General features: G+C 38.6%; 1 protein-coding gene across 23 annotated transcripts in view; it reads right to left on the bottom strand.

The window, feature by feature from the left end:
* Positions 1-12973, bottom strand: part of NMNAT3 (nicotinamide nucleotide adenylyltransferase 3) — a 117871-nt gene that overhangs the window by 59537 nt on the left and 45361 nt on the right. For 13 of the 23 annotated variants that reach the window (NM_001401612.1, NM_001401602.1, NM_001401605.1 and 10 more), the window contains one exon: positions 7900-8048. The exons of 3 other annotated variants lie outside the window; for them this stretch is intronic. In NM_001401612.1, coding sequence (NP_001388541.1) covers positions 7900-8008 — 109 coding nt within the window. In that variant the 5' untranslated portion in view covers positions 8009-8048. 23 annotated transcript variants of the gene reach the window in all.

The raw sequence follows: 12973 nt of genomic DNA on the forward strand, positions 1-12973 counted from the left end.
GGAAAAGGCACTCAGTGGCTAACAGTCAAGCCTATGTTTTATCAAGCCAAGAGGAAGTTATATACCCTCAAAATAACTTTAACGTTATTCTGCTCACTATTTTCAGCTATACAGGGAATACATCCTTTCTCCCCCTGCTAGACTAAGGGTACAAAATTTTTTCCTAAGAGATAAGGACACATTTTATTTTAACACAGCAGCAATAACATTATTGGCCTGAAAACATTTAAACAATAATTTTTAAATACCATCTAATATCCAGCCAGTCTTCAAATTTCTCCAACTCCCTCATGAATATCATTTGATATTTGATTTGTTTGAATCAGGATTCAGATAAGGTCCATATATGGTATTTAGTTTATACGTCTTCTAAATCTCTGTGGAATTTTATAGTTTCCAATTTCTCTTACTATTTATTTGTTGTGTCTTTTGCCCTAAAGAATGTATTGTATCTTATGTATAACTGAAGCAACCTTGTGGAGTCTTTTTTTTTTTTTTTTAAAGTTTGATGTTTTTTACTGAGGTATAACTGACACACAATAAAGTGCATATCTTTAAAGGGTATATTTGATAGGTTTTGACATACGTATATACCCCTGAAACCCACACCACAAGTAAGATAATGAACATAACCATTATCCTCTCTTTTTGCACTTACTGTAGATTAATTTATATTTTCTAGAATTTTATGTAAACAGAATTCATATACTATATACTCTTTTTGGTCTGACTTTTTTCACTTAGCATAATTATTTCAAAATTCATGTCTACTGCTGGTTCATTCCTTTTTATTGCTGAATACTATTCCGTTGTATGCATAAACCACAATCTGTTTAACTATTCACATGTTGATGGATATTTGGCTTATTTCCAGTTTGAGGCTACTATAATTAAAGCTGCTCTGAACATTCATGCACAAGTATTTGCATTTGCTTTCATTTCTCTTGTGTAAATAGAAATAGAATGGCTGAATCATACAGTAATATAGTAAACACACATTTAACTTTTTTTTTTTGAGACAGGATGTCACTCTGTTGTCCTGATATCACCGTCTTATAACTCCACATCTTGTCCCACTAGAAGGTCTGTAGGGGCAGAAATACGCATGGAGCTGTCATCTATGACATTGTGCAGTGGTGCAATCATAGCTCACTATGGTTTTGAACTCTTAGACTCATGTAATCCTCTTGCCTCAGCATCCTGAGTAGCTAGGACCACAGGCATGTACTGCAATGCTTGGCTATTTTTTTTTCCAATTTTTGTAGAGATAGGATCTTGCTATGTCGCCCAGGTTGGGCTCAAGCCATCCTCTCACCTCAGACTCCCAAAGTGTTGAGATTACAGGCATGAGCCATGCAATTGGCCATATTTAACTTTTAAGAAACTGCGAAGTTATTTTCCACAGCCATTCCACTATTTACATCCCCACCAACAGTGTATGAAAATTCCAATTGCTTCAGGTCCTTAGCCATACTTGGTATAATCAATTTTTAATTTTAGTCATTCTAATAGGGGTCCAGTGGTATCTCACCGTGATCTTCATCTGCATTTCCCTAATGCTATTGAGCATCTTTCCATATACTAATATTTCATCCATATGTCTTCTTTGGTGAAGTGTCTGTTCAAATATTTGGCCCAGTTTTTCACTGGGTTATTATTTTGTTTTATTTTGTTTGTCGAGACAGGGCTTTGCTCTGTTGCCTGGACTGAAGTGCAGTGACATGATCTCGGCTCACTGCAAGCCACCCAGGTTCAACTGATTCTCATGCCTCTGCCTCCCGAGTAGCTGTGATTACAGGTGTGTACCACCATGTCCAGCTAATTTTTGTATTTTTAGTAGAGACAGGGTTTTGCCATGTTGGCCAGGTTGGTCTTCAACTCCTGGCCTCAAGTGATCCACCCACCTTGGCCTCCCAAAGTGCTGGGATTACAGGCATGAGTCACCATGCCTGGCCAGAATTTTTTCCTTCTGTCTTACTGCATGTTTGTACCTTTTAACCTAGTTCTCTTCATCCTTCTGCTTCTTCCCTAACTCACCCTTCCCAGTCTCCGTTAACTATCTTTCCACTCTCCACCTCCATGTGTTCAAATTTTTTAGCTTCCACATATAAGTGAGATCCATCTTTTTGTGTCTGGCTTATTTCACTTAAGATAATGATCTCCAGTTCCATCCATGTTGCTGTAAATGACATGATTTCATTCTTTTTTGTGGCAGAATAGTATTCCATTATGTATATATACCACATTTTCATTATCTCTTCATCCATTGATGGACACTTAGGTTGATTCCATATCTTTGCTATTGTGAATAGTGCTGCAATAAACATGTGAGTACTGGTATCCCTTTTATATATTGATTTCTTTTCCTTTGGGTAGATACCTTGTAGTGGGATTGCTGAATCAAATAGTAGTTATATTTTTAGTTTTTTGAGATATCTCCATACTGTTTTTCATAATGGCTGTTCTAGTTTACATTCTCACCAATAGTTTACAAGAGTTCCCTTTTCTCTGCATCATCACCAACATTGGCTATTTTTTGTTATTTTAATAATAGCCATTCTGACCGGGTAAGATGATATTTCTTGTTGGTTTTGATTTGCATTTCTCTGATGATTAGTAATGTTTAGCAGTTTTTCATATACCTGATGGACGATTGTATATTTTTTTTGGGAAGTGTTCTAAACATATCTAAACACAGAAAAGGTACAGTAAAAAACATGGTATAAAAGATAAACACGCCAGGCACGGTGGCTCACACCTTTAATCCCAGCACTTTGGGAGGCCGAGGCAGGCTGACCACAAGGTCAGGAGTTCAAGACCAGCCTGACCAATATGATGAAACCCCATCTTTACTAAAAATACAAAAAAATCAGCCAGGCATGGTGATGCATGCCTGTAGTCTCAGCTACTCGGGAGACTGAGACAGGAGAATCGCTTGAACATGGGAGGTGGAGGTTGCTGTGAGCTGAGATCATGGCACTGCACTCCAGCCTGGGTGACAGAGCAAGACTCTGTCTCAAAAAAAAAGTGTGTGTGTATATATATCATATATATCATATATATGATATATATATGATATATATGATATATATATAAAATGTATATATGATATATAATATATATTATATATATTATATATATATATATATAAACAGTATACTTTTATAGGGCACTTACCATGAATGGAGCTGCAGGACTGGAAGTTGCTCTGGGTGAATCAAGGCGTGAGTAAATGTGAAGGACTACAGTATTACTGTAGACTCCTATAGACTTTATAAACACTGTTTATTTAAACTACGCTAAATTTTTAAAAATATTTTTCTTTCTTCAATAATAAATTAACTTTAGCTTACTATAACTTTTTTACTTTATAAACTTGACAACTTTTTAAACTTTTGGATTCTTTTGTAATTATACTTAGCTTAAAACACAAACATTGTACAGATGTATAAAAATATTTTTCTTCATATCCTTATCCTGTAAGTTTTATTTTTAAATGTTTACTTTGTAAATTTTGTTAGAAATTAAGATACAAACACACAGATTAGCCAAGGCCTACACATGATCAGGATCATCAATATCACCATCTTCTACTTCCACATCTTGTCCCACTAGAAGGTCTGCAGGGGCAGAAACATGCATGGAGCTGTCATCTATGATAACAATGCCTTCTTCTGGAATTCTTTCTGAAGGAGCTGCCTGAGGCTCTTTTACAGTTAACTTTTTTTTTAAATAAACAGAAGAAATAGACTCTAAAATAAGGATAAAAGTATAGTATAGTAAATACATAAATCAGTAACTTAGTCATTTATTACCATTATCAATTATTATGTACTGTATATAATAGTATATGCTAGACTTAATTGGTCGATTGATTGATTGATTGAGACAGAGTCTCACTCTGTCGCCCAGGCTGGAGTGCAGTAGCTCAATCTCAGCTCACTGCAACCTCTGCCTCCCAGGTTCAAGCAATTCCCTGCCTGAGCCTCCCAAGTAGCTGGGATTACAGGTGCGTGCCACCAGGCCTGGCTAATTTTTGTATTTTTAGTAGAGATGGGATTTCACCATCTTGGCCAGGCTGGTCTTGAACTCTTGACCTCCTGATCTGCCTGCATTGGCCTCCCAAAGTGCTGGACAGGTGTGAACCACCATGCCCGGCCTATGCTAGACTTTTTAGACTTTTATATGATTAGTTATGCAGTAGGTTTGTTTACACCAGCGTCACCACAAACACAAGTAATGCCTTGAGCCACGATGCTATAACGTCACTGGTCAATAGGAATTTTTCAACTCCATTACAATCTTATCAGACCACTGTCATACATATGGTCTGTTATTTGCTAAAATGTCATAGTGTGGCAAATTATTGTATTTGTTTTCTTCTGCTTATTTTGTTTTTCATCTGTTCATTTGTTTATTAAAGTGGAAGTTGAAATCATTGATTTGAGACCTTTTTTTCCTAATATAATATTTCGTGCTATAAAACTCTTCTTAAGTACTATTTCAGTGGCATCCTAAATTTTTTATATATTGTTTTCACTTTCATTGAGTTCAAAATGTTTTCTAATTTCCATTTTGATTTCTTCTGTGACCCATGAGTTTTTCAAAGTATGTTATTTTATTTCCATATTTGGGGATCTTTCGGAGATCTTTCTGTTATTGATTTCTAATGTAATTCCACTGTGGTCAGAGAATACACTTTGTATTACTTCAGTTCTTTTACATTTATTGAGACTTTTTTTTTTTTTTGAGACAGAGTCTCGCTGCACTCCCCAGGCTGGAGTGCAGTGGCACGATCTCGGCTCACTGCAACCTCTGCCTCTCGGATTCAAGCCGATTATCCTGCCTCAGCCTTCTGAGTAGCTGGGATTACAGGTGTGTGCCACCACACCTGGCTGATTTTTGTATTCTTAGTAGAGACGGGGTTTCACCATGTTGGCCAGGCTGGTCTCAAACTCCTGACCTCAGGTGATCCACCCACCTTGGCCTCCCAAAGTGTTGGGATTACGGGCATGAGCCACCGCGCCATGCGGAGACTTCTTTTATGGTTCAGAATATGGCTTATTTTGGTAAATGTTCTGTGTGCCCTTGGGAAGGATGTGTATTCTGTGATGTAGGATGCAGTGGTCTATAAATGTCAATTAGGTCAAATTGTTTAATAGTGTTGTTCAAGTCTTCTATTAATTTTCTGTGTGCTTATTCTATTAATTACTGAGAAGAGCATTAAAATAGCTGACTCTAAATGTGGGTTTGTCTATTTCTCCTTGCAATTCTATAAGTTTTTGCTTCTTATGTATTTTGAAGTTATATTACTAAGTGCAAAAAGCGTATTACTTCTGCTTAAAGAATTAACCCCTTTGTGATTATGAAATGACCTTATTTATCCCACGTAATATTCATTCCTCTGAAATCTACTTTCTCTGTATTACTATAGCCACTTCAGCTTTCTTTTAATTAGTGTTAGCATAGGACAGTTTTCTGTTCTCTTACTTTTAACCTATTTGGGTTACTATGGTTAAAGTATGCTTCTTATTTATAGTTGGGTCTTGCTTATTTTATTGAATCTGGCAGTCTGCCTCTTTGCAGAAGTTGTTAGGCTACTTATATTTAATGTGATTATTGATATAGTTAGGTTTAAATCTCTTATGTTGTTTTCTATTTGTCTCATCTGTTTTTTGTTCCCTGTTTCTTCTTTTTCTTCTTTTGAATTAACTGAGTATATTCCAATTCTATTTTACTTCCTCTGTATGCTTATTAACTATAACTGCTTCATTTTAGCAGTTGCATTAGAGTTTAAAACATACCTTTAACTTCTTACAGTCTATCTTTAAGTGATGTTATACCACTTTATGTATACTTCCCTTTTACCCCCTCAGCTTTATTCTAGTGTTATCATATATTTTACTTCTACATAGGTTATAAATCCCACAATGTATTGTTATTTTTATTTAAACTGTTAATTACCTTTTAAAGAAAATCAATAAGAAATCTTATATAATTGCCCTATGTTGTTACCATTTCCAGTGCTCTGTATTCCTGTGTTGGTCCATGCTTCTGTTTGGTATTATTTTCCTTCTGCCTGAAGAATTTAGCATTTTTTGTAGTGCAGGTTTGCTGGTGGTGAGTTCTTTCAGCTTTTGAATATCTGAAAATGCCTTTACTTTGCTTTCGTTTTTGAAAGATATTTTTGCCAGATATGGAATGGATATAGAATTCTAGGTCGACAGTATTTTCTTTCAGTTCTCTAACAATGCTATTACACTAAATTCTCTTTTGGTAAATTCAGTAACAAGATGTCTGCTGTCATCTTTATTTTTGTTCTGTGGTTGCTTTTGACTATTACTGCTTTTGAGAGATTTGATTATTATATTTTTCAGTGTTGTTTTCTTAACGTTTCTTGTGTTTGGAGTTTGTTCAGATAGTTGGATCTGTGGGTTTTCATCAAATTTGGAGAAATTTCAGTTATTATTTCTTCAAATATTTTTTCTAGTTCTTCCTTTGTTTTCCCCTTCTGGGATTCCAATTCCAAGTATATTAAGCTGCTTCAAGTTTTCCCGTATCTCATTGTTATTCTTTCTTTTTTAAAATTTTTTCTTCCTGTATTTTTAGATAGTTCCTATTATTACATCTTCAAGTTCACTAATCTTTTCTTCTGTAATGTCTAATCTGTTTTTTATTCTTTATAGTGTATTTTTCATCTAACAGGTTGTAGTATTTAATTCTAGATGTTTGACTTGGGTCCTTTTATATTGTCCATATCTCTACTTAACTTGAATATATAGCACATAATTATAATAATTGTTTTCAAGTCTTTGTCTGCTAATTCTAATATCTGCATCAAATCTGGTTTGGTTTCCATTGGTTCATTTTTCTCTTTGTTCTGAGTATGGGTAGAGACTTTAAATCTTTTGTCACAGAACACCAAATTGTCCTCAAAATTTATCCTATTACTACCAGTACAGTCCTACTGGTAGTAATAGGATATCACTTTTACTTTTTCAATAAAAATATGTTTCTAAAATAAAGACATTTCCTTTAAAATGAACTAATACTTGTGCATTATTTCTTTGAAGAAATAATTTCCATGTTACTCAAATACTTTTTGCTATGTTAAAAGTAAATAGGGATGGATTCTGGTATAAAAACAATGTCCTTAAAGGCAAACTTTTTACAAACAATATAGAAACACAAAATACATATATGAATACATAATACATTCATAAATATACAAGTAAATAATTTCATATATACTCGATAGCAACAGATACATTATTTATATTCTTTAGAAACAATCATGCAGATTACAAATGTCACTTTACTCCTTTAATAATGAAATAGAAAGTCAAGCAGGTGAAATATCCTCAGATTATATATTTCCAGCTGATTAAATATTCCTGTCAAAGTCATGCCATCTGTATTGGAAATGCCCTATATACAAGATTATTAATTTGTAATAATCTAAGATCTATTCTTTAAAATGAGAAAATGTCAAAATGCCCATTATCAAGCATTTTCTTACCCTCTGAAGAGTATCAGGAGCTTTCTAAGGCACATGCTACCTATTCATCTGGCTGTGTAGGTAGATGTTGGGAGTACCAGGAAGGATGCCCTGATTGTGGCACAGGTTCTGTAGAGGGCCTGTTGTCGTTCATTGCCAATGTGAGGTGGGCAGGGAGGGGAGACCTTGAGATGTGTTCAGCTCTATGGCAAGGGGTATGACTTGTACATATGTCACAAGACTATAAGCATCAACCCTTTGAATATGATGAAAAAAATATGCCACTAGTTATGCTGTGAATAAATTGAGCTGTTTTAATAATAGTGATGCCAGCAGCCAGAAAAGCCCCATGAAGCCTAACCCACCAGTTCTTCTGTTGGACTCAGGGCCCCCTGACTGACCTGTTTGGTGTAGGTGATCTCTGGCCACCTCAAACATGCGCAGGTGCATGTTGGTGATGGGGTTAAAGGAGCCACAGGCCAGGAGCACCACAGGTATTCGGCTCTTCATCTTGTCAGGCACATCCACACCTGTTGCAGTGGCCACCCTGCTTTTATGGGGACAAAAGCTCATGTCAGGGAGTTAGCACTGAGACAATTATCCAGATCAGTCTCTCTAAACCACACACAGACCATTACTTCTCACTTGTAAGATGACTGAGGAGGCCATTAAAACAACGTTTAAGGAGGGTTGGCCATGGGCCATGAAGTATGCCAAGTGCTATGCCAAGGCGTATCCTTCTCTTGCCAAGTCCTTTTTAACGACCCTGAGTGGTTACTCATACAGCTCAGGGACCTTAGAAGCTACTGGGCCAGGACTGGAACCAAGGCAGCCTGATCCCAGAACCCATGTTCTATTCTGAACCTCTATATCCTCCTTGAGCTCTGACAGATCACCACGGGGTCAGAAGGAGGGCTAGAAGACTCCCGTAGTGCCATCTCTGGTAGTCCTAATAGATCTCACAAGGTCCTAGAGTAGATTAGCACTTTTAAAACACTTTTTATTTTGAAACAATTTCAGACTTATTGGAAAAAAGTTACAAAATTTATACAAAATGTTTTATACTCTTTATCCAGATTCCCCAATGTTAACATTTTACCACACTTGCTTTATCACTCTCTTTCCACACACATACATACCTGTTTATAAATATTTTTTCTGAAATGTTTGAGAGTAAGTCATAGACATAAAATCTCTTTACTTCTAAATACTTCAGTATGTGTTTTCTCAGAATGAATACACTTTGTTACATAACTGCAGAACAATGATTAAAATCAGGAAACCAACATTGTTACTGGACTATTATCTAATGTGCAGACTGTATTCTGATCTCACCTATTGTCCTTTATCTGGGGCCCAAGCATTTTGAGAGGGTGCAGCCCACCCTCTGGTCTCACCCTGTTGAGGTTAAAGGTGAGAAGGAAACAGCCCAGGCTCCAGGGCAGGCTGGCAGACACGGCTCTCTTGCCTCTGAGATGCTGCCTCCTCGAGGTGGGACTTGGTTGACCCCTAGTTCTACCTCTCACTGGCTGTGAGGCCTAGGGCAAATCACAGACCCTCTCTGAGCCTCAGGTTTCTAACCTGCAAGATGGGGATAATGTTACTTACTCTTACAAGGTTATAGTGAGGATAGTTACATATGGAAAGTGCCTGATACGTAAGAAGCATTTAATAAATAATCACTGTGGCTGTGGTGATGATGATGACAATGGTGAGAAAGGTGCTGCTACTGCTGACCCTAATGGAGCAGGAGGAGAAAGGAGATGGTGGTGTGTCTGTGGTAGGCAGTGTTTAAGATGGCTCCCAATGATCCTTTTAGTATTCACTGGTAATCTCATCCCTTAAGTATAGGCTGAAACTTGCTTACAACAAACAGAATACAGCAGTAGTGGTTACCACTTCTGAGATAAGGTTACCAAAGGCCCCTGGCTTCCCTCTTGCTCACCTCTTTTGCTTTCTTACTTGCTCACCCTGATGCAGCCAGCAGGCAGGTTGTGAGCTGCCCCGTGGAGATGCCCATGGGCCCAGGAAGTGAGAGAGACCTCTGGTGGCCAACAGCCAGTGAGGAACTGGATCTGCCAAAAACTATGTGCATGAGTGTGGGTGTGATCTTTCCCCAGTCAAGTTTTCAGATGTGATTGCAGCCCTGCGAACACTGACTGAAGCTTTATAAGATAGGCTTTATAAGTTAAATTATATCTGAATTCACGACCCACAGAAACTGTGAGATAATAAATAAAAATAATAAATAAATGTGTTATCTTAAGCTGCTACATTTTGATGTAATTGGTTATGCAGTAATAGATAATACAGAAACCAATGGGAGGAATGCATTTATTGCCTTTATTATTCATCTTGCTGTGATGGTCTTAGCTGTAATCCTGCAGTTCTGGGGGCAACATGTAGAGTGCTCAGTCACAGGAACCTGGGACCCTGCTTATATCAAAGGAAACTGTTTCAATTTGGCCCATGTTATCTCCTTCTCCAGGCTTTCATCCAGTTTCCTACTTTATATTCTAGCAACAATGAACTACCTATTAGGACTTCTTTGTGAGATCTTCATGGCTTCCTGCTTCAACCTTCTGTACAGGCTATTTTGGTTTCCTCCAACCAGAAAACCCCCCGGCACATCCCAATATGTTAAGATCCAATTCATATGATCACATTATTTATTACTTCATCACTATTTATCAATTACCTGCTAGGTACCTATATCAGTTAGGGATATATTAGCTGCAAATACCAGAAGCCTAACCTCAGTGGTCTAAACAAAGAGAGGTTCATTTGTTTCTAACATGACAAAAAGTCTGGAAGTAGGCACCTAATGACATGAAATCATGGGCTCAACAATGACCTACAATTCTTTCAGTTTCTGTCTCATGGTCACATCATAACCTCAATAAAGGCAAGAAGGAGGAGCAAGAAGCTGTACTAGATTGGCTATTCCTCTTAATCAAGAACACAAGAGCTTTTTTAGAACCTCCTGTAGATTTTGCTTCTGTCTCATTGGCCAGAACTAGGTTACATGGCCACTGTAGCTACAACAGAGGCCAGAAAAGGCATCTATTTAGCTTGACAGCCTCTCCAGTGAGAACAGTAAGGGAAAGGGGATTGGAAACTGGATTAACTAATTCACTGTGGCTGCCACAGAGTTGGGGATACAAGTGTCTGGGACTTGGGAGGGTGGAAGGCTGCTGAGATGGCTTCTTTGACATCTAGCTTAGGTTAACTCATCTCTGACTTACCTTTAATAAACCACAAGCGACATTTTATTGAAAAAGCCTGCTTATGTGTCTTTCCTATCCACTGGACAGTAAACCCTTTAGGAAGGGAAGTGGTGTTTTCTCCTTCTTGGGATTTCAGCTCGAAGCACAGAGCCTGGCCCAGAGTAGGGATCAGTGAAGACTGAAACAGGGCACTGGCAGGCTGGAGGGCATGTACTCTGAGCTACAGTGTGAAGATGAAAAGCTCTCAGCCTAGGCGGGCCGTGGTCTCTCCATACTTCCTTTGAGGCAGCAGGAATACCCCCAACTGTGTGGGAAGAAAGCAGTCAACAAGCTGCTGCTAGCTTTTTCCCAGGGAGGTTGGATGGTTTAATGAGATATTTGCAAAGTGTGCCAAGCTATTCACAAGAGCAGCCTCGTGATGACTGTATCTGAAAAGGTGGCTGTTTTTTTTTTACAACTGTTATGAAGTCTTTCAAAATCCTGTTTCATTTTGACAAAATATACATTGTTAGCACCATTAAAATATGTAACAGCATCTCAGGTAACCTGGGGCTCTCATCCATTTTTCCAAAAGTTCCCAGAAACTATAAATTAGAACAATTTGTTTGAATGGTGGCATCAACAGCAATGAAGTGTGATGCTGAGAAGGAGAATAAATGACCTTTAATAAGTGCCTCTCTTTCTTTTTTTGCTGTGGGCATACTGAGCCACACTGTTCTAGTGGTGACTGTGCTATGTCTGGGCCATATCGCAGGCTGAAGGACACAGGAGTGCACATTCCCAGGATCAGTAACAGGGTCAGTGCACCTGTACCATGTGTACACTCAAATTTGCTTCAACTAAGTACCCTCCCAAGCCAAACCCAGCGAAATACAGTGATAGGGCTAAAATGGAATCACTCCAGGGATCCACCAGGACAATAAACTGGCTCTAATTTGAGTGCAAATCTCATCAGACACAAGGCAAGATGCATGCTATAAAAGTGTCCCATCTGCCCTTATCATCTAATAATATCTAGTGAGACGGAGCAAGTGAGGGAGACTTCTGCTATTGGGGAAGGCTTCTCATCAATAAGCATTTAATGGAGGCCAGAGAGTGATAATTGCAGCTGAAGGATTTAACAAGTTGAGAATGTGGTGTACAGGCTTGTTGGAATTTATCATTAAACTGGAGACAAGGCAAACAGGTTCTACCTTTGGCTCCCGCCCCCTCCCCAGCTTACTGCCTCCCACTCCATAGTCATCTAGACAGCATTTCATCCCACTCCTCAAGCACAACATGCTGCTTCTGCAAAAGCAGTCATGACCACCTGAAACGCCATCCTGATGATCTGCCTTCAAGGTTTTCTCCCTGGAATATTTACCTCCCCCCTACTGCCCTCACCACCATGCTAACTCTGTACTTGTTACATATTTTATCACCTTTTTGTTTCTTCACCAGAGAACTGTCATTTTTTTAATGCATGTTGCTCTTCTCCAAGTGGAAGATAATATCTTAGAGGTTTTTTATTTTTTATTTGTTTTTTTAAGAGACAGGGTCCCACTTTGTTGTCCAGTTTGGAGTGCAGTGGCATAATCATAGCTCACTGCAGCCTCAGACTCCTGGGCTCAAGTGATTAGAGAGTGGTTTTTAAATTCATCTTGGTCCTTTCAACTCCTAGCACTGTGCCTGGCACCAATAGGTACTCAGGAAATGTGTGTGGAAAGAACAACAGAGTCAGTGTCTATCCCTGACCAAGTATTTTTGTCAGATGTCTACCTCCTCTCTTTGGTTCTGTCCCAGTCAATGGAATGAGCCTTCCAGAGATATAAAGTGAACTTTCTGGCTCCCTGAAGGCACACAAGATCCCTCCCCAAAGCCCCACTTCACCCGACTCAATCTGAAACTTAAAAAAGACATCCTTGCCTATTGGGCCCTCTTTACCACCATGATCCTGTCAACAGGGATATGCTGGCCTCCTGCACATTGACACCAAGGTCATCCCTCTGCCCTACAGAACTGGAGGTTGATGGCTGTCCATTTGCCAAGACAGTCCAGACAATTCCTTCCAGATTTTACTGCCTAGACATTGCTCACTGCACTGGTTTTCAGAGTCCGTCCAGTTTCTCTACAACAGCCTGGTCTCTGGCACTGCCCTGACTGCCATCTACTCAGTGGACAACTGCTTATTAAGCATCTACTAGTGGCCAGGCCCTCTACTGGACAGTAGGATGCAATAGGAGGCAATGCAGATGCAGCCCTCACCCTC

Source organism: Homo sapiens, chromosome 3, assembly GCF_000001405.40.
Source record: "Homo sapiens chromosome 3, GRCh38.p14 Primary Assembly".
NCBI classification, from domain to species: Eukaryota; Metazoa; Chordata; class Mammalia; order Primates; family Hominidae; genus Homo; species Homo sapiens.